The sequence below is a fragment of the Homo sapiens genome, chromosome 12, assembly GCF_000001405.40.
Source record: "Homo sapiens chromosome 12, GRCh38.p14 Primary Assembly".
NCBI lineage: Eukaryota > Metazoa > Chordata > Mammalia > Primates > Hominidae > Homo > Homo sapiens.
In genome coordinates this window covers 94,673,594-94,700,138 of record NC_000012.12, presented here as the reverse complement: position 1 = coordinate 94,700,138, position 26,545 = coordinate 94,673,594, and the positions used below count along the sequence as shown (strand labels likewise).

The 26,545-nt window shown below is 42.9% G+C and overlaps 4 annotated features.

Annotated features, from left to right (window-relative positions):
• Positions 10,807 to 11,046: an enhancer, noted in NCBI's record as "active region_6794". NCBI's record gives its function as "activates an Ori minimal core promoter by ATAC-STARR-seq in GM12878 lymphoblastoid cells {active_cell/tissue: GM12878}" and the evidence as "EXISTENCE:reporter gene assay evidence [ECO:0000049][PMID:35858748]".
• Positions 16,794 to 16,883: an enhancer, noted in NCBI's record as "active region_6793". NCBI's record gives its function as "activates an Ori minimal core promoter by ATAC-STARR-seq in GM12878 lymphoblastoid cells {active_cell/tissue: GM12878}" and the evidence as "EXISTENCE:reporter gene assay evidence [ECO:0000049][PMID:35858748]".
• Positions 23,360 to 23,469: an enhancer, noted in NCBI's record as "active region_6792". NCBI's record gives its function as "activates an Ori minimal core promoter by ATAC-STARR-seq in GM12878 lymphoblastoid cells {active_cell/tissue: GM12878}" and the evidence as "EXISTENCE:reporter gene assay evidence [ECO:0000049][PMID:35858748]".
• Positions 24,060 to 24,169: an enhancer, noted in NCBI's record as "active region_6791". NCBI's record gives its function as "activates an Ori minimal core promoter by ATAC-STARR-seq in GM12878 lymphoblastoid cells {active_cell/tissue: GM12878}" and the evidence as "EXISTENCE:reporter gene assay evidence [ECO:0000049][PMID:35858748]".

Below are 26,545 nucleotides of genomic sequence, written 5' to 3'. Positions count from 1 at the left end.
CTTACCCAAGACATTTGCTTGGCAAATATTTTCCCAACCAAACTGCACAGTCACCCAGGGTGTGTTCTACCACACCGGACCAGCCAAGTTGGAGAGTGACTGATTACCAGGGTCATGTGTTTACTGCAAAGGGAAGTCACAGGGTTATAGCTCCCATTTCTTATGAGCCCTTTGCAGTCTGTACTCTCTGTGCTGTTTCCCCAGCAAGATAAGTGAGGTAGGGAAGAGATGCTTTTGAATGCATGGCTGGTCATGAAATGCCTGTAAGAAACTTGATAGGGATATGGGTGATATTGACATACATATTAGAAAGTTGATTGTTCTGTGAAAACCTGAAGAATGATGGCCACTGCTCTAGTCTGAATGTTTGTGTGCCTCCACTCCCAGTCATTATGTTGAAACTTAATCCCCAGTGCAATGGTATTAGGAGGTGGGACCTTTGGGAGGTGATTAGGTCAAGAGGGTAGAGTCCTCATGAGTGGGATTAGGCTGAGGGAGCTTGTTTGCCCCTTCCACCACATGAGGAAGCAACAAGAAGGCTCCATCTATGAGGAAGCAGGTCCTACCAGACACTGAGTCTGCCAATGCCTTGATCTTGAACTTCCCAGCCTCTAGAACTGTGAGAAATAAATTTCAGTCGTGTAGAATCCATGGCATTTTTTTATAGCAGCCTGATTGGAGTATGATAGCCACAGTAAATAGTTAAATGAAAAAAAAACCGGTTGACAAACGGGAGGTGTTATATTACACAACTTGTTTGATGTATAGATGGATGAATAAGAGATGGTGAGTTAGGGCTGGGCACAGTGGCTCACACCTGTAATCCCAGCACTTTGCAAGGCCAAGACGTGCGGATCACCTGAGGTCAGAAGTTCGAGACCAGACTGGACAACATGATGAAACCCCGTCTCCACTAAAAATGTAAAAAAGTTAGCCGAGTGTGGTGGTGCAGGCCTGTAATCCCAGGTACTTGGGAGGCTGAGGCAGGAGAATTGCTTGAACCTGGGAGGCAGAGGTTGCAGTGAGCTGAGATCATGCCACTGCACTCCAGTCTAGGCAACAGAGCGAGACTCTGTCTCAAAAAGAAAAAAAAGAGATGGTGAGTTGGAAAGAGAAGTGTTTTTTAGCAAGGCCAAAGAATCTATTCTTTTAGATCGGGGGTGCTACTCAACTCTGCAGCTCTGGCTTGAAAGTAGCCACAGATTTTATATATAAAGGGATGGACGTGGCCATGTGCCACCAAAATTTCATGGACATTGAACATTGAATTTCATATAATTTTCACATGTCACAAAATATTATTCCTGTCTTCAGTCATTTAAAAGTATAAAAACAATCCTAAGCTCACAGGCGGTATAAAAATAGGTGCAGACTGGCTTTGGCCACAGGCCATAGTCTGCTGACGCCTGTTGTCATTTGGGTTGGGGAGAAGTTGTTTGCTTGCTTTCACTCTCTACTGTTTAAATTTTTGTATTTTTGGAACTTTTTAGAACAATTATTACTTTTTTCCAGGCTGGAGTGCAGTGGCATGATTGTAGCTCACTTCAGCCTCAAACTCCTGGTTTCAAGTGATCCTCCCACCTTAGCCTCCCAAGTAGCTGGGACTTACAGGCATGCACCACCAGATCTGGCTAATTTTTAAAATTTTTTTCTTTAATAGATATGATGTTTGCCTGTGTTGCCCAAGCTGGTCTTGAACTCCTGGGCTCAAGTTATCCTCCTGCCTCTGCCTCACAAAGTCTTGGGATTATAGATATGAGTCATAGCGCCTGGCCTATGGCTCTTAAAATTAAAAAAAAAAAAAATATTTCCATGTTAGAGCAAAGGAAGAGGAGAAAGTCTCTGTGTGGGCCCCTGTTAGGTTTCAGTGAGAAAAGGACAAGTGATAGCACCTTAGGGCTCTTGTTCGAATAATTCAAGATCTCATTTATTCACACTGACCCACCCAGAATTGGGTTGAAAGTCCCATTTGTTCTCTCCAAAGAGATTTATGAACTTAAGTTGTAAACAGTTTAAGGTAAATAGTGTTACTAATTATAAATTATTTTCATCTGCTTGTTAAAGCAGGCCTATTAGAGTATCTGCCTGAGAAGAGGGTGAGCTTAGATTAAGATAACTTGAAAGCAACACCATATTCTTTTTTAAATGCTGTTACCCAGACTAATTCAGACTTCCCTCTCTTCTTATTTTACCCACAACTGACTATGCTTTTATGGTGCCTATCTTAGGCTAGTTTGCATTAGGTCTGTTTATGGTCTTCCTTTTGTCTGTCTTCATTCTCTGTAAATTCTCTGAAGGCATGGGTCTTTATATAATACCTTTTATTCATTCACTTATTCAGCAAGTATTTACTGAGTGCTTTCTACATATCAAGCATTGTTCTGGGCCCTAGGGATACTGGTGTGAACAAAACAAAATTTTGATCTATGGAGCACACAGTCTTTGTTGAATCTGACTTTGTCCTGTTCATCTGCATTAATGTTTTTCTTCAAGGATAAATTAGCTTTACCTCACAGGTCAACTGGGAGTGATTATTAGTGGGTGCTTAGGTAGTGCTGTGGTTTGAATGTGTCCCCCAAAAGTTTATCTGTTGGGAACTTAATTGCCACTGTAACAGTATTAAGAGGTGAGGCCTTTAAGAGCTTATTAGGCCGTGAGGCATCTACCCTCATGAGTGGGTTAATGCTGCTATTGTAGGAATGTGTTCCTGTTAAAAGGATACGTTTGGCCTCCTTTTTCTGTTTCCTGTGTGCCTGCTTCCTTGCCACATGATACCTTCTTCTAGGTGACGACCCTGGCCAGTTAGTGTTGCCATAGTCTTGGACTTTCCAGCCTCTAGAACCATGAGCCAAATAAACTTCTGACCTTTATAAATTACCCAGTCTGTGATATTCTGTTATTGCAGCAGAAAAAGGACTAAGACAGGGAGTATGTTAGGAGGCATTCTGAGAGTCAGCTCAAAAGAGGACCCTTGTCCATCACTCATCTGGGAGAAGAGCATGACAGCACATGGGTCACATATATGCCATCCCTTATATAGATTGTGAATTGTGGCACATGGGAGGCAACTGAGGGGCAGGGTGATGTGATGATGGTGAAATTTCTAAGATTTTATGTCAGGATCCAGATTAATTTCCCTTCTGCCTCTTCTTTGTGACATCACTGGTGGAGCCTTAATTTCCTTTTTAAAATGGGCAAAATAATATCTACTTTAGAAGATGATTATGAGGCTTTTAAAATCATTACTATTATCCTCATCATCATTATTAATAGATAATATTTATTGAACATGTATGATGTGTTAGCCACTTTACAGGTATTATCTCATTTAATTGTCTCAACACCACAAAATAGATCCTACTATTATTCTCATTTTACAGATGAAAAACTGGGACAAAGAGAGGTTACGGTCGAAACAAGATTACACAGCACGTGATCACATGATGTGTGTGAAAATCCTGTACTGCACCTGGCACATAATAAGTGCTCACTATGTGGCCCTTTCCCTCCTTCTTCCTCTTCCCACCCTCCCCTTGCTATGTAGCAACAGTGTTGAGGAGACCACCAACTCTTCTTGGGTGGTTTATGAGTCAGTAAGGAAAAGCTCATTGATTCCTTTTTCCTCCTCCAGGCCTCCTAAGACTAGATGTATCACTTATGATATTTCCAATGGAGCCCTTCTTTTCATTTATTATGAAGGCTTCAGTTCTGGGCTTTGACAAGACTACAGTATCACCTAGAGTCCAAACAGGAAACAGATGATACACCCAAATCAGATAACCTGAAGAGCATTAATGAAGTAACTTCTTACAAAGGTAGAGAGAAAATGCAGATCATTGCAGAGCTCCTTCAGGTTAGTCACAGAAGGGCTAACACCAGCCCTAGACCTGAGGAGGGAAGGGAGTACTTACCCAAACCTGGGGGTGAAGAGGCTCTGTGGAGGGGGCTTCCTGACCCAAGCTGTGCCCTTCAGTTAGAGGATGGAGCCAGCCCACAGTGAGCCATAGAGAAGGCAACAGGGGAAATGAACACCCCAGCCTCCCTCTTCTCCCTCCTTCCCCCTGCTGCTGCTCCTCAGGGGCGAGCCCAGCAGGAAGCCTTGTCCATGGATGCAGCCATGTACACTGGACTCCCAGAGAAGATGGGGTGGATCTTGAGGGGCAGGTGGAAGGTACCAGCACCGCTGCCACCCTGGGCATGCCCAGGAAATGGTGGGGCAGATCGCAAGTTCAGTTTTGCACACTTCTTGGCATTCGTGCAGATTCAGACATTCTTGGCTCCAGGTGTCTAACAGATGGCTAGATCTTCCAGGTAGACGGTTACAAATTACTTTTTGTAAGTGTGCATTTGGAAAAAGTCCGGCAATGGATTAGTTGGAGGACAACGAATTGAAATTGGTTCTTCTACATAGCCTTTGAGACTGATTCATTATCTCAGTAGCTATATCTCTTAAAAAACCTCAGTTCACTTATTTATAAAATGAACACGGTAATACATCCTTCTCAGGGACATGTAAGGCCTCAACTAGGTAAAGTCTAAAGGTTTTATAGGCCTTATTATGATTTTTAATAGACTTTTTAACAATTTTTGAGACTTCTCATGGAGATGAGAAGTCTTAATGTGCAGAGTAACATAGGCCCTCTTAGATTTGAGATACAGGTGCCTGTATCTTTCTTTAGATTGTTGACTCTGTGGCATATTATAGACTGTCACATCTTAGAGGTTCATCTTGGAGGTGAATAACTTGACTTGAAAGGTCATATGGATTTTTCTTTGACATTTTTGCACTTTAGATCAGCAGTCCCCCACCTTTTTGGCACCAGGGACTGGTTTTATGGAAGATAATTTTTCAGACAGTGGGCGGGTTGAGGGGAAGGGATAGTTTGGGGATGATTAAAGTGCATTACATTTATTGTGCATTTTATTTCTATTATTATTATTACATTGTAATATATAATGAAATAATTATACAACTCAACATAATGTAGATTCAGTGGGAGCCCTGAGTTTGTTTCCCTGCAACTAGACAGTCCCATCTCGGGGGGCACGGGAGACAGTGACAGATCCTCAGGCATTACATTCTTGTAAGGAGCGCCCAACCTAGATCCCTCGCATGCACAGTTCATATAGGTTTCATGCTCCTATGAGAATCTAATGCTGCCTCTGGTCTGATGGGAGGCGGAGCTCAGGTGGTAATGTGAGTGATGGGGAGCAGCTGTAAATACAGATGAAGCTCCACTTGCTCGCTCGCTTGTTCGGTCACCTGCCACTCACCTCCTGCTATGCAGCCCAGTTCCTAACAGGCCATGCACGGGTGCCAGTCCATGGCCCCGGAGTGGGGCACCCTTGTTTTGGACGGTCTCAGACATGCTGACCAGGATAATTGGGACCCTCTCTACCTAGGATCATCCACTTAAATCAACTGACTAAACTTCCTCCCTCATTATTGTAATCTGTATACTACAGGTAAACTCTAGAATAAATTACTGATGTAAAAATTGAACACGTAAGGACTGTCATGTCATATATCTACCAAGTACCTTAAGGTTTAAGCAGTATGTTGGTAACTATGTGAAATACCTGAAACTCTCACACATTATTTGTGGTGGGAATTTAAGTTGGTTCAGCCGTTTTGAAAAACCAGCAATTTCCACTAAAGCTAAATGTATACCCACCCCAAGAATAGCAGTTCCACTACTAGGTATACAACCAAGAGAAATATGTACATGTGTCTTCTAAAAGACATGCACAATAGTGTCCATATCGGCCTTATTCCTAACAGCCCCAAACTAATTAATAATCCAAGTGGATATCAAGAGGGGAATGGATACAATAAAATGTGGTGCTTCCTATACAGGGAAATACTTCATAGCAATATAAATAATGAACTAATTAAAATATAAACTAATGAAACATGCAGGAACATGGATGAATTTCAAAGATATCATGTTGGGTGAAATAAGCCAGACACTAAAAGAGTACTTTTACGAAGTTCAGGAAGAGGTAAAACTTGTTAGTGGTTATGGAAGGAAGTTAAAAAAAAAAAAAAAGATTATCCCTTATGCCAGGGTGGGGCTGGGAAGTATTGATTTGAAAGAGTCATAATGAAACATTCTGGGTGTTGGAAATATTCTGTATTTTGATACAAGTGATGTTACAGAGGCATACCTATGTAAAAATTCATCAGACTGTATACTTTAGCTTGTGTACTTTACCTACTTTGCTTCTTATACACTATAATAAAAATGGTTTTGAAAAAAATTTATTGAGTGTTACAGCCAAATCTTGGCAAATGTGGCAATGATAATACCAGGAAACGTAGTGAAAAGTTTGCCTTAACTATAACGTGATCTTTCTGGAGAGTTTGGCAATGTGTATTGAAAACCTTAGGCACATGCACACTTTTGACATAACTATTCTTTGGAAATCATTAAGATCGTGTGTAGAAGTTTCTTCATAGGATGTTCATTTCAATGTCCTTTGTAATATTGAGCATTTGGAAATAACCCAATGTTCAATTTAGAGAATTGGTAATAAATTCTGAAATAATATGCGGCTACTTAACAAATGTAGTGGAGGAAGGGGCTGTGTTTGCTTTCATGTGTGTTTCTATGGAGGAAACAAAGTAGACAGGACAAAGACTTCAGAAAATGGTTAGTTGGCTTAAAAGTGGCTGGCTCTAATCATGATAAAGACATTTGAAATATGTTTATTGAATGAAATTGATGGATAGTAGATGTCCGATTATCACATGATTTCATCCCTGGAAGAAAAATGCTATAGGTCTCACATTCCTTCCTGAAAATCTGTTTCTTCTCGTATTCTTTCACTTAGCCTTAGATTTGTCTGGGGTCTGTGTATCTGATTCAGACCCAGCAAATAAAATCTTGCCTGTGGTCTTGAAAGTGTATTTTTCCTTTTTAGCATTGCTGGTTGTATTCGTCCGTTTTCATGCTGCTGATAAAGACATACCCGAGACTGGGTAATTTATAAAGAAAAAGAGGTTTAATGGACTCACAGTTCCATGTGGCTGGGGAGGCCCCACAATCACGGTGGGAGGTGAAATGCACATCTTACATCGCAGCAGATGAGAGAGAATGAGAACAAAGCCAAAGGGGTTTCCTCTTATCAAACCATCAGATCTCGTGAGACTTACTCACTACCATGAGAACAGTATGGGGGAAACCACCCCTATGATTCAGTGATCTCCCACCAGGTCCCTCTAACAACATGTGGGAATTACGGGAACTATAATTAAAAATGAGATTTGGGTGGGGACACAGCCAAACCATATCATAGAGAAACTCCAGGCCTCTAAGAGAGGCTGTTGATGTAAATATAGGGACTGCAGTGGCTCACGCCTGTAATCTCAGCACTTTGGGAGGCCGAGGTGGGTGGATGACCCAAGCTCAGGAGTTCAAGACTAGCCTGGGCAACATGGCGAAACCCTGTCTCTACCAAAAATACAAAAATTAGCTGGGCGTGGTGGCATGCGTCTGTAGTCCCAGCTACTTGGGAGACTGAGGCAGGAGGATCACTTGAGCTCAGGAGGAGGAGGCTGCAGTGAGCCAAGATCGCACCACTGCACTCCAGCCTGGGCAACAGAGCAAGACTCAGTATCAAAAATATATATATATATATATAAATATATATAATATATATAATATATATTATATATACACACACACAGAGAGAGAGAGAGCGAGCGCATGACACTGAGTGATAAACAGTAAAGCCATTCAGAGGAAAGCTGCTGGATAAAATGGAAGCCTGAAAACATTCCCACAGTAAAATCCTACCCTGTGTTTCGTTACCATTAAATATCCTTTCAGAGTTATCTCTAAGAAGCCCACTTGGAGACATCTAGACTTTCTAAAATTTAATAATGTCTCCAATGGAAATAACATTACATGCTAATTAATTGTCATGGGGTAACATTATTCAAATTGGTAACTGTAACTCCCAAAGATTACATTAAGTTTGATCAGTGGGCACAGCTGTTCTCTGAGAAATAAATTCAGAAACTTATTTCTGTCTCTTCTTCTTTTGACCAAAGGAAAAATTAAGTCAGTGACCTTGGTAGGTTTCTTATTTTGAACAATGTGTATGAGATTTTGTGCTGTCATTTCTAAAAGCTTTTTAATTCAGGTTAGCCAAAAATCTCTGGAAGAGGGTAATTTTTTCACTGGAAAATTCGAGTGTCATATTATTTTCAAGGTTACCTTGTATTGAGCTGGGTTTTTTGTTTTTTTTTTTAATGTCTCAGAGCTTCAGTTTCTAAATCTGTAACATGGAAATAATAATGGTACAACATCTTAGTGGTAGTAGAAGAATTACATAGTGTCTGGCATGCAGCAAGTGCTCAATTATTGTAACTCTGTATGTTTGCATAATAACTCCAGGTGTATAGCATTATATACACAAGTTATCTTGGTTTCTCACCTCCTATTTACACCATATTTGGCACATACTAGGCATCAATTATTTTTTTGCCTAAAGTCCCCTATTTTGTGGGATCGAAAAATCAAATCAATTGAACTCATAGACATAGAGAGTAACAGGATGGTTACCAGAGGCTGGGAAGGGTAGTGAGGGTTGGCGGGGAGGTTGGGATTGTTAATGGATACAAAAAAAAATAGAAGGAATGAGACCTACTATTTGATAGCACAATAGGGTGACTATAGTCGATAATAATTTAATTGTATATTTTTAAAATAACTTAAAGAATGTGATTGGATTGTTTGTAACTTAAAGGATAAATGCTTGAGGGGATGGATGCTCCATTCTCCATGATGTGTTTATTTCACATTGCATGCCTGTATCAAAGCATCTCATGTACCCCATAAATATATACACCTACTATGTACCCAGAAAAAAAACATTTAAAATAAAAAAAAATAATAAATTTTAAAAAATGAAGTTCCTTGCTTTGGTTTGTCTTATATGGAAAAAAAATGGTGTCTAGTATTTTTTTTCTCTAGACCACACCAACCTGGTGTTTCAGTAGAATTACAAATATTTTCCAGTAAAATTAAACATGACAATAGCAATTTAATCCCTTTCAAAACTCTCCATTTTATTCAAGAGGATTCTCGTGGTACCCTGTCTTTCTACCTCATTTGTTCATTTATTCATTCCACAAATATTTACAGAATACCAGTCCTGAGCTGTGCACACAGGTAGGTGCTGGGGACATTGTGAACAAGACAAGAAGAGTCCCCTGCCCTCACTCACGCTGGGGTTGCCCCGATGGCATCACTTTTTTTGCTGCTCCACCAAACAGTTCCCAACCCTAGTTTCCCCATTGCTTATGAGCTAGTCCTGGAGGCCAGCCACTTACTTCCATGAGCACACCTGTTCCCTGAGCAGTGGGCCTCCTGGCCTTCCAAGCATTGAGGCCCTCCGCCTCCAGACCCTTGGTGGACTTACAGAAAGGTTGGTGGTTGCACAGCCAGTGCAGAACTGGAACCCTCTCTCCATGAACTGCATTAAAACAAACTGATTATTGCACAAAATCTTGGCAGAAGGATTTGAAAAATGTCCCATGAACAAATACCAAGTCATCTGAGGCTTGTCCACATGATTTACCAGCATTTTTTCACACGACAAAGATGTGAAGGAAAACTGGGGAAATGTGTCAGCCACTATTGGCATGAACCAGAGATATTTACAGGGGAGGGTGAGGGACTATAGTCCAGAGTCTCCTCAGATTCTTAAAACAGCAAGGATTATGCAAAGATAAAAAGCAAAAGTAAACACTAAAACTGTGAATGAAGCAAGAACACAAAGAGGGGAAATCCTTCTATGGAAACAAGCTTTCCTTCAGAGGAGAAAAACAAGACTCTGCTAAAAAAAATCTGTCAGCCTGGAGTAATAGATGGAGGCTGGTGTCTGCACCGTGCCTCCCTAGTCCACGTTTCTCTGCTAAAACACGATGTTTTTAAATGGAAATGAACGTTTGGCAGCTCGAGGATTGACGTAGCTGACGCCGGCTCCATTGTGGAGTGGGAACACAAACAACAAACGTGAAGATGGTTTTGGGAGTGGGTGAGGCAGAGGGCAAGGGGATGCAGGAAAGTGATAAAAAAGCAAGTGAATTCTATGAAGTCTGGTGTGAGGGCAGAAGCAGCTTGATTTGGGAACTGATTCCTCTTGTGTTACCCATCCGTTCATCAAACTAGTATTTCTTGAGCATCTGCTATGTGTCTTACGTGGTGCGGGGCTGTGGGGATGCAGTGGAGGCTGTAGCGGGGGAAGGAACTAACATCCCTTGAGGCCCCACCGTTTGCCAGACAGTGCTCCAGGCTTGCATTGAAATCCTCTGCAACCCTGAGAACTGCGTCCCAGCGCTCCGAGGTGGTGGAAGCTGGACTTAGAGCGAGGTCTTTCTGACTCTAGAGCTCACTGCCTCCTTATTGTTTTGAAATCTTAATCCTGTGGTGATTTGCTTTTATGTTTACTTTTAACCAAGGCTAAAACATTTATTCCTGGTGTGGAATGCCGCTTCTCCTTTCATCTTTGGAATCTGCTTTGGGCCACAGTGTCTTTCTGATCCAGAGAACCATATTCTCAGGCGATAGGACTGATTCTCCCTTCTCTTTCTAGCTCCTATTTTTTTTCCCCTAAGCCTCTGTATGAGTTTCACGTTCAAGCTCTGAATCATCCTTTCTGTTGCCAAATACTCATGCTGAAACCCCCTGCAAGATCTTCTCTGCTCTCTCTCCAAGATAGACACAAATGCTTCCTCTCTCCATACCAAACTTAGTAGAAACCAAAATGAAAGCGAGGAAAGAGACTCAGTGCATTGCTGAAGGCACTCCAGGTCCTTCGCTTTTCTCGTTCTACAGTCAGATTTTATTTGAAAGACAAAAAGACATGTACACAGTAGACCATGGTAAGACGAGGTCCATGGGTTTGATTCAGAGAACTCTAAGCAGAGGCTGCAGAAGAATCATAAATGAGCATGACTGTGCAAACTTTAAGATGACCTACATTATGTCTGTGTCTTTTATTGAGCACCTCCTATGTACCAGGCACTGCAGTGCTAGCTAGAGAATATGTTTGGCAGCAAACACAACAGACAAAAATTTTTTTTTGCTGTCATGGGGCTTATATTCAAATGGGGGGAACAGTCAATAAACCTAACAAGTAAGGTTGGTATGGTAGGTTAGAAAGCGTGAAGTGCTAAGAAGAAAAATAAAGCAGGGAAGAGAGATGGGTAATATGAGGGAGTGTGGTGGTTATTTTGTGTAGGGAGGCCAAAGAAAGCCTCTCTGAAAAGATGGCATTTGAGTGAAGATGTGAAGTGAGGGAATGAACATTCAGATACTCAGAGAGCCTTTCAGGAAACAGCAGATACGAAGGCCTTGAGCAAGGAGGAGGCCCGGTGTGTGTTCTAGGAACAGGGAACACAGGTGGTGGAGTAGTAAGTAGATGGGCTCTGACTATATAGGGTCTTGTAGGATTTTGACTTTTCTCTAAGTGAGACGAGAGCCATTAGGGGGTTTCAAACAGGAATGACCAGATTTGACTTAGTTTTGACAGAGGTTAACGGGGTCAAGAGAGGGATATTTAAGGGTAGGGGAATACCAGCGTGTTTGTATGCTATTGGAAGTGATGCATGGAGAGAGAAATATGACAATGCAGGAAAGAGGGCAGAATTGCTGGTGCAGGGCTCCTAAGTAGGGAAGGGGGCTCGGACTGCGAAAGATGAGGAAAGGGGTTGGCCTCAGGGTCACAGACAGTTCATCCATGGCAGCAGGAGGGAGGCAGAGTATATATGGGCACAGGAGCAGGTGGGAATAGATGTGGTAGAGGGAATGTGTGGAAATTCTCTCCTGATTGCTTCAATTACTTTTCAGAGAAGTAGAAAACAAGATCATGAGCCAAGAGTGAAGATGGAGGAGGAGGAGAGGTGTCGGAAGTTTGAGGAAAGAGGAGTATGAATTAACCATCTAGCAGCGCGGCAGAGTAAATCGACCAGGGAATGTGGTAGGATTGCCAATTGGCAGTCCTAGTTTCTGGTCGTGAATTTAAAATGCCTGTAATCCCAGCAACTGGGAGGCTAGAGGAGGAGGATCGTTTGAGCCCAGGAGTTTGAAACCAGCCTGGGCAACATACCAAGACTCTGACTCTAAAAAAAGTTTTAAAAACAAATCATGATGGGATTGATCTTGTTGGTTTTGAAGGCTGAGAATGTATGTGTGTTGGAAGGGAGTGGGGAAGGGAAGGATAGTGTTGTGGTGATGAGTTGGGGGTGGCAGTTCTTGCCAGGATCTCTTAGAACTTTGTCACTTCCCAGTTACAAGTATATACAAGGAATACTTAGAAGAAAAGTAACACAAAAAAGGCACCAAAGTTCTCAGAGTAGTTCTATCAAGACGGTGGGATTAGGGACAGTGTTTCATCTCCTTTTCACTGTTTTCCCTTGAACTCCATCCAAGATCCTCACCAATGAACTCAGTTTAAAAATTCTACCGCCTCTTGCTTGTAATTTATTTATTTATTTTGTATTTAGAGACGTAATCTTGCTATGTTGCCCAGGTTGGCCTGCAGTACTCTTTTACAAGGTTCAAATTACTTTGTCTAGGATTTACTAAGGAAAAAACACACGTTAAAAACAACGATGACCACAAATAATATCCCTGCTGACGATGTTTCCCTGGGTGTTCTTAATGTGTTTTCACAGGATATCCCAGATAAAGCAAATGCCTTTCTGTCCTTGAATATGGTTAAGTACAATGCATCCTGCCACAGACTGTATTATATTTTTTTGGCCAGATCCAACCTCTCAGGTTCTTCCAGGAAATGTGTTTCTAAAAATTTCCAAAGCCGGTATAGAGAGTCCTTATGTGCCCAGATACACAGATTTGTAATTAGCAATAGCTAAAGGGTTGTTTTTCATGTTTTTGAGAAGTTATCTGAAGCTTCAAGGGCTATTAGAAGTCAAATTATTCTATATTTCCAGTTTGGTTATCAAATCTCTTTATTTTTATTAGACAAAGAGTGCAGTTACTCTCCTAACCATCATCCTTCCTTATCCCCAGCAGCACTACATGGTAATTAAACCTCCTGGTCCTACAAACTAAGACTATTTCGTAAATGTTTGTGGAAACTTGCCAATTTATTATTTACCTAACCCAGTAAATACCATAGAATATTTTTGAAATTTCCTATTACATCCTGCTTTAGGGCAAGTATATTGATTTTTCTCTAGGTTGTAAGTAGAACACTATTTTATCTAAAGAGACAGATGCAATGAATTTAACATAAATATAGGGAATATCATAATCACAGTGTATTTCTTGAATGAGTCAAAACAGAATTGAATGAATGTTTGATTAGTACTACAAAGACCCTCTTAATCTCCAGGCATTTCAAGAGACTGACCTGAGTCTTGAGTATGAAATCCTGCAGAAAAAGTAAGAACTACTTGAAACTAACAACATAGAAAACTGAACTGAATTCTTGAATGTGTCTAAAAGTGAGTACCTCTGTGAGCTCTGGCAATTTACTTAACCTCACTGGCCTTCAGTTTTATTGGCGGTTTAGTTACCCTCACTGGCCCTCAGTTTTGTCATCTGAAATATTAGATAAGTTGATGAAAACTATAGAGGTTTTTTGTTCTGTTTTGTTTGTTTGTTTGAGGCAGAGTTTTGCTCTTGTTGCCCAGGCTGGAGTGCAATGGCGCGATCTCAGCTCACCGCAACCTCTGCCTCCCAGGTTCAAGCGATTCTCCTGCTTCAGCCTCCCGAGTAGCTGGGATTACAGGCATGCGACACCACCCCCGGCTAATTTGTATTTTTAGTAGACACGGGGTTTCACCATGTTGGTCAGGCTGGTCTAGAACGCCCTACCTTGTGATCCACCTGCCTTGGCCTCCCAAAGTGCTGGGATTAATGCTGTGAGCCACTGTGCCTGGTCGAGTTATTGAGAGTATAAAGGGACTGTAGGGATTTTCTAATGTCTCTTTAAAGAAAGCAGGAGTGCTAACTCTTATTTTATTTCCTTTTCCATTATACTCTGCTGAACTTTCATTACTTCCAAATCAAAAAGTTGATAATTCTAACTTTAAAATTAGTTGTGGTGGCTCATGGCTGTAATCCCAGCACTTTGGAAGGCCAAGGCAGGTGGATCACGAGGTCAGGAGTTCAAGGCCAGCCTGGCCAATATGGTGAAACCCTGTTTCTACTAAAAATACAAAAATTAGCCAGGCATGGTGGTGTGCGCCTGTAATCCCAACTACTCGGGAGGCTGAGGCAGGAAAACCACTTGAACCTGGGAGGCAGAGGTTGCAGTGAGCCAAGATCGCGCCATTGCACTCCAGCCTGGGCGACAGAGCGATACTCAGTTTCAAAGAAAAAAAAGGTAGTTTCAAAATTGTGAAACCAGGCACAGTGGCTCATGCCTGTAATCGCAGCAGTTTGGGCGGCCAAGATGGGAGGATCCCCTGAGCTCAGGAGTTTGAGACCAACCTGGGCAACATGGCAAAATCCCATCTCTACCAAAAAAAAAAAAAAAAAAAAAAAAATGGCGTGGTGGTGTGTGCTTGTAGTCCCAGTTTTTCAGGAGGCTGAGGTAGGAGGATCACCTGAGCCCAGGAGGTCGAGGCTGCAGTGAGCCACTGCACTCTAGCTTGGAAAACAGAATGAGACCCTGTCTCAAAAACGAAACAAAACAAAATCGTGGTGACTTTGGAAGCAGAATCACACATGCCTGTCCACATTCCACATCCCAGGCCTACTGAGCCATCTCTGAGGATCTTTAGATCAACAATCCAACAATTGTGGTGATGGTTGCACAGCTCTGTGAATGTGGTAAAAACCACTGCATTGTACATTTTAAATAGGTGAACTGGATGGTATGCGAATTATATCTCAATAAAGCTAGGTCAGAATTCTTTTGTTGGAAGGTGATAATGTTACTGGAAAGGGGTCCCAATCCAGACCCCCAAGAGAGGATTCTTGGACCTTGTGCAAGAAAGAATTTGGGGTAAGTCCATGGAGTGAAACCAAGTTTATCAGAAAGAAAAGGAATAAAAGAATGGCTACTCCATAGGCAGAGCAGTGGCATGGGCTGTTCCACTGAGTATATGTATAGTTATTTTTTGATTATATGCTAAACAAGGGGTGGATTATTCATGAATTTTCCAGGAAAGGGGTGAGCAGTTTCAGGAACTGAGGGTTCCTCCCCATTTAGGCCATATAGAGTAACTTGCTAACATTCCATGGCATCTGTAAACTCATGGCACTGGTAGGAGTGTCTTTAGCATGCTGATGCATTATAATTAGTGTATAATGAACAGTGAGGACAACCAGAGGTCACTTTCATGGCCTTCTTGGTTTTGGTGAATTTTGGCCGGCTTCTTTACCACAACCTCTTATCAGCCGGGTCTGTGTGACCTGTAAATTGTGCCGACCTCCTATCTCATCCTGTGACTTAGAATTCCTAACCTCCTGGGAATGCAGCCCAGCAGGTCTCAGCCTCATTTTACCCAGCCCCTATTCAAGATGGAGTCGCTCTGGTTCAAATGCCTCTGACAATAGAAACCAACCCAAGCCAACTCAAGTGAGAAAAGAAAGTTCACAGCCCGTGTCACTGAAAAGTCCACACTAGATATCCAGGCATGACTGGACCCAGGTCTTAAGCATTCGCATTAAATCCTACACTGTCTCCACCTCTCAGCCCTCGTTCCTCTGCAGTAGCTTCACTCTCAGGAAGGCTTTCTCCACAGGTGGCCCCTGGCAGTTCTCAGCTTAAATATTTACCGATTTATCAACTCCAGCAGAAGCATCTCATTCAGCAAAAGTACCGGAATGAAGTGTCATGGATAGCTTGGGCCATATGACCATCCTATACTAATAAATGCTCACATAGCACTATGTGCCAATTCTATTCTTGTAACATCCCATTGATGGGGTTCAGAACACACTACCCCAATATATGGCAGTTTGGCATACTGCATATTTTAATCTGAAGGAATATGAGAAAATGCAGACACAGGAAGGTCTCTCTGACCTTTCCTCTACCCTTCCCTTCTGAAGCACATCATAAAATCTAGGACAGATTTTCTGAGCTTCCCTTGAAGAGGGTCATGAAACACTCATGTGAGAGTTGCTTTCCCTATATTCAAAGGGAAGGAGCATCCTTATCTCTGAAGACGATGGGACACAGAGAAGAATCCAAACAGGCCTTGCTAAGTTCCTCCAGGTCACTGCACTCACCTTGCACCCTTTGCCCTATCATATTTCTCCACCACCATCCTCTTCATCAACCTACTATGAAAAACACTCAGGTTTAATTGCTTCTCTATGGTTTCCTCTCTTTATGAAGGCTGCTGTGTCATGTAAAACATATTAAATAAATTTGTGTGCTTCTCTCTTATTAATTTGGCTTTTATTACAGGAGCACTAGCCAAGACACCTAAGATGGATAGAAGAAAATATATTTTTCCCCCTACAGCACTTTATAGATGAAAAACTTAAAACTTGAGGCACACAGAAGTTAAGTAACTTGCTCAGGTTCACACAGTAGTAAGTATTGGAGCTGGGGATTTGAAACTCAGGAAGTCTCTGCCTTTAGAGTCTGTGGTTTTATTGGTCTTTAATGCTATGCTGGAGCCAAGGGAAAGAAATGTTCAGACTGGCCAGTGCTGGAGCAGATTCTATATTTACAACCTCATTCTCTCCTGACATCCTGTATTCTAGACCCTTGAGGGATGGATGTGTGTCATATCAGATATTAGTGAATTTTAGAAAGCAGGTTTGTGAGCACCTTCTGCTTCAGAGACTGCAGCTGTTTCTGCATCATATTCATCATTGCCAATGTCAGCCTGACTGTAGCCATTTGAAAAGAAGCCTCAGAGCTTGTAATAAAGCAAAACTGAGGCTTCCTGGCCCCAGAATCAGGACCATGTCAAGATTCTGGCCTCTCTTAAAGAAAATTATTACCAGTACACAGCCTTGGGAAGAAACAATAAAGTAACTGGTGCTTCATCAGCAATGAGAAGTAAAATGAGACTAGCCGGGTGCAGTGGCTCACGCCTGTAATCCCAGCACTTTGGGAGGCCAAGGTGGGCAGATCAGGAGGTCAGGAGATCGAGACCATCCTGGCTAACACGGTGAAACCCCGTCTCTACTAAAAATACAAAAATTTAGCCGGGCGTGGTGGTGGGCGCCTGTAGTCCCAGCCACTCAAGGCTGAGGCAGGAGAATGGTGTGAACCCAGAAGGTGGAGTGTGCAGTGAGCCGAGATCACACCACTGCACTCCAGCCTGGGCGACAAAGCAAGACTCTGCCTCAAAAAAAAAAAAAAAAGGAAGTAAAACGAGACTTTAGAAATTACTCACCAGAATAAGTGATAACTAATAGACAAACTCATTATTATCGAATCCAAGGATTAGGCTTCAGGGAACATTATTTTCAAAAAATGCAGACCCAGATTTGGAGAATTAAAAGTTTTTCCATCTTTTTCTGTTACAGGAAATAAATTTACACGGATAAATATTTCTTTTTTCTCTTTCTTTCTTTCTTTCTTTTTTCTGTGAGATGGAGTCTCACTTTGTCACCCAGGCTGGAGTGCAGTGGCACGACCTCGGCTCACTGTGACCTCTGCCTCCCGGGTTCAAGCGATTCTTAAGCCTTAGCCTCCTGAGTAGCTAGGACTGCAGGCACATGCTACCACAGCCAGCTAATTTTTGTATTTTTAGTAGAGACGAGATTTCACCATGTTGGCCAGGCTGGTCTTGAACTCCTGGCCTCAAGCGTTCTTCCTGCCTTGACCTCCCAAAGTGCTTGGGATTACAGGTGTGAGCCACGGCGCCCAGCCTACACGGAAAAATATTTCTAAGTTGTCAGTTACTGACCCTGTTTTTGAGAATTGGTTCACAGGACCACTGGTATCAGAAACCACCTGGGATGTTCTTTATTAAATCATAATCCCAGTTGGGCTTACACCGGTGGTCCCAGCTACTTAAGAGGGAAGGCTGGAGGGTCGTTTGAGCCCAGGAGTTCAAGTTGCAGTCAGCTATGATCAGGCCTTGGCACACCAGTCTGAGCAGCAGAGTAAGACCCTGTCTCTAAAAAGTAAATAAAATTAAATCATAATCCCAAATAGACACAAGAATCTGTATTTGTTAAACACACTAAGTGACTCTTACGTCCACCAAAGTTTGAGAATCATCACCATAAGTGGCTGGGGCAAAATAGGATATTAGAAGAAGTAAGACCATTGGGTTCTGTATTAATTCATTCTTGCACTGCTATAAAGAAATACCTGAAACTGGGTAATTTATCAAGACAAGAGGTTTAGTTGGCTCACAGTTCTGCAGGCTGTACAGGAAGCATAGCGACATCTGCTTTTGGGGAGGTCTCAGGGAGCATTCATTCCTGGCGAAAGGCAAAGCAGGAGCAGGCATCGTACATGGTAGGAGCAGGATTGAGAGAGGGGGCAGTGCTCCACACTTGTAAACAACCAGCTCTAGTAATAACTCACTCTCTCTCATGAGAACAGCACCAGGAAGATGGTGCTAAACCATTCACAAGAAACTGCCCCCATGATCCTATCACCTCCCACCAGGCCCCTCTTCCAACACTGGGGATGACATGAGATTTGGGCAGGGACACAAATCCCCACCATATCAGGGTCTTAAATTGAACCAAATGTAATGGCCATAGGAGGCAGTTTCTGCTGGGTAGGGAAAGGGGGCAGCTCATTTTTCTCAGAGGCCACCATATTTTGAACAGCTTTAATTGTTAGGTGGTACCTCTAATGTTTATATCTTTTTTTTTTTTTTTTTGAGACATGGTCTTACTCTGTCACCCAGGTTGGAGTGCAGTGGTGCAGACATGGCTCACTGCAGCCTTGACATCCAGGGTTCAAGCGATCCTCCCACTTCAGCCTCTCAAGTAGCTGGGACCACAGACATGCACCACCACACCTGGCTATTTATATTTTGTAGAGACAGAGTCTCACCATGTTGCCCAGGCTATATATATTAGTCTGTTTTCATGCTGCTGATAAAGACATACCCGAGACTGGGCAATTTACAAAACAAAGAGGTTTAATTGGACTTATAGTTCCACATGGCTGGGGAGGCCTCACAATCATGGCGGAAGACAGGGAGGAGCAAGTCACATCTTACAGAGAGGGCAGCAGGAAGAAAGAGCTTGTGCAGGAAAACTCCCCCTTGTAATAATCATCAAATCTCGTGAGATTTACTATCACAAGCACAGCATGGGAAAGACCTGCCCCCATGATTCAGTTATCTCCCACAGGTCCCTCCCACAGCACATAGGAATTTAAGAGGAGATTTGGGTGGGGACACAGCCAAACCATATCACTATATATCTTCTCATTCTTTCTTTCTTTTTTTTTTTTTTGAGATGGATTTTCGCTCTTGTTGCCCAGGCTGGAGTACAGTGGCACAATCTCGGCATCTCGGCTCACTGCAACCTCTGCCTCCTGGGTTCAAGTGATTCTCCTGTCTCAGCCTCCCAAGTAGCTGGGATTACAGGTGCCTGCCACCATGCGCAGCTGATTTTTGTATTTTTAGTAGAGACTAAGGGTTTAGTAGAGACTTAGGGTTTCACCATGTTGGTCAGGCTGGTCTTGAACTCCTGACCTCAGGCAATCCGCCCACCTCAGCCTCCCAAAGTGCTGGGATTATAGGTGTGAGCCACCATGCCTGGCATATCTTCTCATTCTTTATGTTCAGAATTGTTGATCTCTATATTCACTGCTAGCTCTGTAGAGCAGAAAAGAGTAACACTAACCAGTGAATTTTAGTAAAGAATTTTTCAGATGGAAAATGTACTCTCATTAGCTATAAATTGACTAACCAACAACAATAATTAGCATTAGTGAAAAGAGCAATTGTTAAATAATAAGAGCTAACCGTTTTTGAGTGGAGTATAGTGAGCACTTTACATGCATTATCTCACTCTGTCCTCCTAGTCACCTTATGAATGAATGGGTGGTGATATTATCTCTATTATCAGACGAGGACACTGAAGTACAGACATTAAGTATCGTGTCCTAGATCACAAATACTGGGGCAAAGTTGGACTCATTCAGACTGATTCTGTTTAACATTGAGCCCATTTGCTTTTAACCTTTGAGCCATGCTGTCTTATCCTCTCAACAAGAATTTATTATTCTCTGGGAGACTGAAAACCGAGTCTGAAGAAACATTGACTGCAACAAGTGTGCATTTATTATATACTGGAAAAGAAAGCTACCCTGCCCCTGGCTCCGGGACTCACCATTCTAAGAGATCTAGCTGATATGCACAGAGACAGGCTTGTATGTCTCAGGTACCTGTTATCCAAATTAGGACACAATGGTGCCCATATCCTGTGGGGCCCCTCAGTGCTTCCAGAGCATTCCAGGGGTCAGATTTCTCCTGCTTCCTGGGTCTTGGATCCTTGACTTTGTGAGGCCATTTTAGTTGCTGCTCTTGACCCATCCTAAAGGTCAGAGCTGGGTTAAAGATAAAATAGCATACCTGGAAGAATCAGCCATAGCAACCTGTCTCTAAGTGCACTTTTGCTCCAATTCCAGTGACCACTTAGGCCAAGCCATGAGTTCATATAATGGGATATCTGAAGATATATGACCTCAGAAATTCACAGAGCAGATGGGACCCTTGCACAAATCATTACAGTATAAGGCAACGTGTAGTAGAGTGTGGGAGCTCTGGTGTCCAACTGCCTGACCAAGTCCAGTGTCGCCACTGCCCTTTTAGAGATAGTACTTAACCTTTCTCAATCATGGCTTTCTCACCTATAACTAGGAATAGTAGTAGGATTAAATGAAATAAAATGTATCAAGTGCTTCATAGGATTCCCATCCCATAGTATGTGTTCAATAAGTAGCTCTTATTATTGCTGTAAACAAAATATTATTTGTGGCAAGAAGAAGGAGATACTGCTCCTAGCAATCAGAGAAGTCTTCTTTGAGGAGGAGCATTTGATCTGGGCCCAGATGGGAGGAATTTCTGTGAGAGAGGAGGGATTATTCTATGCAGCAGCGGAACCATAACCTGCAAAAGCACAAAGGGAGAGGCAAGGCACGTGCAGGGCGCGGTGAGTGAGGCAGAATGACTGCAGGGCAGAGGGTGCGGGAGTGCAGGAGGGTAGGTGGGAAAGACTGGTCAGAGGGCGTTTGTGGAAGGTCTCAGAGGCTGGTGAGCATCATGTTAATCTCCTAGTCCATCCCTCAGGTTTGAGAGCTGAATACCCACTAAATAAGAATTGCACTGTCTTTTTTTTATTCTTTTTGCATTTATAATACTTACGATCCTAGCCAGGGCTGACTTGGAGGCAAGAATAATTCCCTGGCAGTTTTAGGAAGCTGCATGAATTACACATTCCTGGTTATGTGGACTCTCAACTTTTTGTAAACGGTAAGTGTATTACCAAAGGTGTATGATTCCTTGTGCAGCCACCCCCACGGCCCCCATCCCACCCCACCCAACCCCCGCCCTGCTGGCCATTCCTAGCTACAACCACAGAAGCCAACGCAGCCCAGAAGACAGTGCTGATTTGGGTGTTCCTGTCATTGGGCAGCCCTAGACTCCAGGCCTAGGGCGCGGCGGGGGTGGGGTGGGGGCAGGAGGGAGGGCAAGAGGAGGAAGGAAAGCCAGTCTCTTTTTGCAGATAGAGAAGAGGGTGCCCAGAAGAATTGTGCTGAGCTGGTGATTTGAGCTGTTATCTGCTTGGATGTACGATTGATTCACTCCTACTCCGAGGTTCTCAGAGCCCAGAATGTTCCATAAGTGAAACAATTGATGCATTCGGTCTCTGTGGCACTTAATCCACCACTCCTACCCCCATTTTAATATTTGTAATAGTGATCAGTGAAGGGCAGGACTTGAATGTTTTAGAACTAAAACGGGATAAAAAGTAAAGTCCTAATAATGGTTCTCTTCTGTCTTTGTCCCTCTAATTAGAGAAGGCCATATCCATGTCTCCATAGGAAATGGACAGTTAGGGAATTGGTACCGGGCTGGAGTCATGTGTAATCTTGCCCTGCCTGAGGGAGGCCTGATGTTGGAAGTATTTAAGAGAGTCTGAAAGCTTGGCTGCTCTAATAATTAGACTGGCTGTACTGGTTTTTCTTTGCTTATTAAATCACAGGCCAGAAACACCTCTGTGGCAGGACCTGTGTACTGAATTGGTATGCTGTGAGATCCAGAGCAAACTGAAAGTATGTCACACTTTGAGCATTTTCACAGACCAGTCATGGCCACAAGTTTAGGCCTGGCTTAACCTGATTCACTGGAAATCAGCTTCAACAGCACCAGCTGTAATGAAAAGTAAATATGCAGGTGTTTGTTGTTATATATCTGGCATTGTTAAGCTATCACTGAATTTTTTAAAAATCTTGAATCAGTTGGTGAATGTACATGTATCCAAACAGCTTGCTTCCAGACTGTGTACAATATCTTCTTTCTTTTTTTGAGACAGAGTCTCCCCTGTTGCCCAGGCTGGAGTGTAGGGGTGCCATCACGGCTCACTGCAGCCTCAACCTCCCAGGCTCAGGTGATCCCCCCACCCCAGTCTCCCGAGCAGCTGGGACTACAGGTGCACACCACCATGCCTGGCTAGTTTTTGTATATTTTGTAGAGATGGGGTTTCACCATGTTGCCCAGGCTGGTATCGAACTCCTGGGCTCAGGCGATCTGCCTCGGCCTCCCAAAGTGCTGGGATTACAGGTGTGAGCCATTGTACCTAGCCCATAAGTATCTTTTAATGCTTACCTTCAATTATGATAGATATTGGGAATACCTTGCATTTGTATAAAGCGTTTTTACTGGCTGATTTCAGTTGTTTGAAATCATGCATCCTCTGTCAATCTTCTGGCTGATTCAGTTGTTTGATTCTGCCCAGAACCAAGTGTGGCATAATAAATATTAGCTCCTTGATCCACAGAGGATGCTGACCCTGAATTGAGTGACTTATACAAGATGACAAAGCTAGACAGTGGCTGGCCGGAAAGAGCAGCCCACTAGGTCATCTGCTTTTGGGTTCAGTGTTGGGGTTTCTCCACCACATTGTGACAGAATAGTCTGGCTTGACTGGTTTTTTCTAAAGCACTGATTTTTCAGCTTCCCAAGAAAACCAGAGTAGATCCTCTTTTTGTTTATTTTGTTGACCCAGTTATACACCTTCTGTTCTATAGCTTTTCCCATCTTCTAGGATATGGGACGCAAATTTTATGCATAGCCAATGATTTTTTAAACCAAACTCATAAGCAAAATCTGAATTTCCTTGGAGCAGGAAGCAGAGAAAACAAATACCTTCTCTGTGCTGATTGCTCACATAGACATGCTAACCCACACTCTGCAAAGGGGTTGAGTTTTAGAAATTTAAATTACTTTGTTGTCACCTAAAATAAAACCTTCCCTAGACACTCCCCCAGCACTCTCTTTTTTAGTTTTTATTTTTGAGACAAGCTTTCGCCATGTGGGCCAGGCTGGTCTGGAACTCCTGGCCTCAAGTTATCCACCCACCTCAGCCTCCCAAAGTGTTGGGATTACAGGCGTGAGCCACCGTGCCCAGCCCCTCTGCCCTCCCTTCAACTATAGCCTTATCTTCCTCCTTGTCTGCTTTGCAGGCCAACCCTGGAGAGAGTTGGCTAACTTCCTGTCCTTATTTTCTCATCTCCCTCTTGTTTCTCACTCTTCTTCCGGCTGGACACTGGCCAGGTTTTTGTTAAGGTCACCGGTGGTCTCCACATGACTCAGTTCAGTGGACTTGAGTTTTTCAGACTCAATTTATTTCTCTTAGGGGATTTAGTACACACTGTGACCTTGGGAAATTTACTTCTCTAAATTATTTGCAAAATGGGCGTAGCACCTTCCTCCTCAGATTGTAGCGAGGTCTAAATGACATAGTTTGTGGGAAGTGGTGAGCATAGTGTCTGCTACAGTGAGAAGTACATGCTAACCACTGCTTTTATCAACACACTTCCCCTGGTTCCGGTGACACTGTATTTTCTTGTTTTCCTCCTATGCCTTTGGCCCCTTCTACTCCTCTGTGTTATCATGAAAGGAAATGAAATGCGTCTGCGGCAACAGGACTCTGGATGTGAGTCCCTGGATGTGAGGTGTTAAAGGAGGGACACTCCCAAGAGAAGTCTTAAGCAACTAAGTGGTGGTGCCATTTGCTGAAAGGTGGGATCCTAGAGGAGCCAGAGGGGCATGGAGGAAGGCGGGCACACTTGAACATACTGAGCCATCCATGTGTAGATGAACTGGATGGATGGGTGAGTAAGGCTGGAGGTCAGAAGAGACATAGGAGCAAGAGGCTCCATGGCCGGGCAGGTGGCTCACGCCTGTAATCCCAGCACTTTGGGAGGCTGAGGTGGGCGGATCGTCCGAGGTCAGGAGTTCAAGACCAGTCTGGCCAACATAGTGAAACCTTGTCTCTATTGAAAATACAAAAATTACACTTTGGGAGGCTGAGGCGGGTGGATCGCCTGAGGTCAGGAGTTCGAGGCTAGCCTGGCCAACATGGTGAAACCCCGTCCCTACTAAAAATACAAAAATTAGCTGGGCATGGTGGCGCAAGCCTGTAATCCCAGTTACTCGGGAGGCTGAGGCAGGAGAATCGCTTGAACCCGGGAGGCGGAGGTTGCAGTGAGCCGAGATCGTGCCATTGCAATCCAGCCTGGGCTACAAGAGCGAAACTCCATCTCAAAAAAAACAAAAAACAAAAAAACAAAAATTAGGTGTCGTGGCATGCGCCTGTAGTCCCAGCTACTTGGGAGGCTGAGGCAGGAGAATCAGTCGCTTGAACCTGGGAGGCAGAAGTTGCAGTGAGGCGAGATTGCTCCACTGCACTCCAACCTGGGCAACAGAGTGGGACTCCATCTAAAAAAAAAAAAAAAAAAAAAAAAGCCAGCAGTGGTCTGGGAGAGAAAGCAAGATGGGAAGGGAACGGTCTGGGACAGATGCAGAGAAACGTTGAACTGTTTCAATAGCCTCCTGATCAGCCTCCCGGCTTCCACCCTGGCCCCCCCATAAAAAGTCCTTACTCTGCCAGAAAATGCCACAGGATCTGCGCTGCTGTTCTTCTAACCCCAGGCTGCTTCTCTGACCTCATCTCCACCCTCCCCGCTCTCCTGCTCGGCTCACTCTGCTCCACCCATGCTGGTTTTCTTGCTGTTGTTCCTCAAATGGATCAAGTGCTCCCCTTCCTTGGAGCTTTTGCACTTGCTGGTCCTTTTGCCTAGAATGGTCTTTTTCTAGATATTCTACATGTATCACCCCCTCACTTCCTTCAGTTCTCTAGTTAGGTGTCCCAGCCTATCCATGAGAACTTCCCAAAACATATTATTCAGAAATGCAACACTCATCTATCCCCTTTTCTCTGCTTTCTAAAATTTACTAGCATCTGATATGATCTATATCTACCTGACATATTTTGTTATATTGCATAATATGGTATTATATACTATGTTTCTATATGTGACACATGTAATAATGATAAATATATATACTAATATACCATAATATATATTATACCATCCCTATATATTCTAATCTGCTATATTATACAGTAATTTTTAAAATTTCCCACCTCCAAATATAACTCCATGAAGCCAGCAACCTAATTGTGTTCACTGCTATATCCTTGGAGCCAAGAACATTTCCTGGCATGAAATATACACTTGCTAATATCTGTGGAATTAAGAAATTCCAACATTTCATGATAGCAAAAAAAAAAAATCAACTTTTATCTCCCCCAGGGTTGCCATTTGAAGCTGCAAGTACATTATGCAGAGTTGGTTGCTGTGGTACCAATATGTTTTACATTTTGTATAGTAATGTTCATGAAATGAAGGATGGGTTTCCAATTTCCATTAGTGCAGGATGCACTCGAGTCCTGCCAAAAGTTTCTTCCCTTTTGAAATGCCTTATCTCCAGCTTAAAAACTTCAACTTCCTTTTTTAAGACCCAGCTCCCTTTCTCAGGAAATGTGTGTTTCTACTAGGATACAAATGGGATTTATGATGCTGAGGGAAGTCGATTTGATTTGCTGAATATACCCTTGACAATTGAGAGAAGGTTATCTGAAATTAAAAAAAAATAATAACCCAGTTTGCCAGTATGCCACTCTGGATTACAGAACGGCATCAAGGTTATTGTGCTTGGAACGTTTTTGTTTTTCTCTTTTAAAAATATTGCCTAATTATGGACAGGAGGATATAAAAACAAAAGAAGCTCACATTCTCTTCCCCATTTCCAGTCTACTGAGGATGACCCCACGGTAGACTTAGATTTTCTCAGTGATTCAGAAGAAAATTGAGTATTGTTAAGGAAAAACAGCCTTAACCTGAGACTCTAAAATTGTGCTGTAAGTGTGAGCAGAGGGACACAGAAAGTCTGCTGATGAATGTCACCTGCTGTCTTTTGAAAACCAATGTATGCCACGGGACTCCTATGAATAGTAAATAGTACATGGCCTTTGAGCTGTTTTTATGTCAGTGGTAATAGGTCACACTCTTACTTAATTGCTCGTGCAGTTCAGAATTACCATAT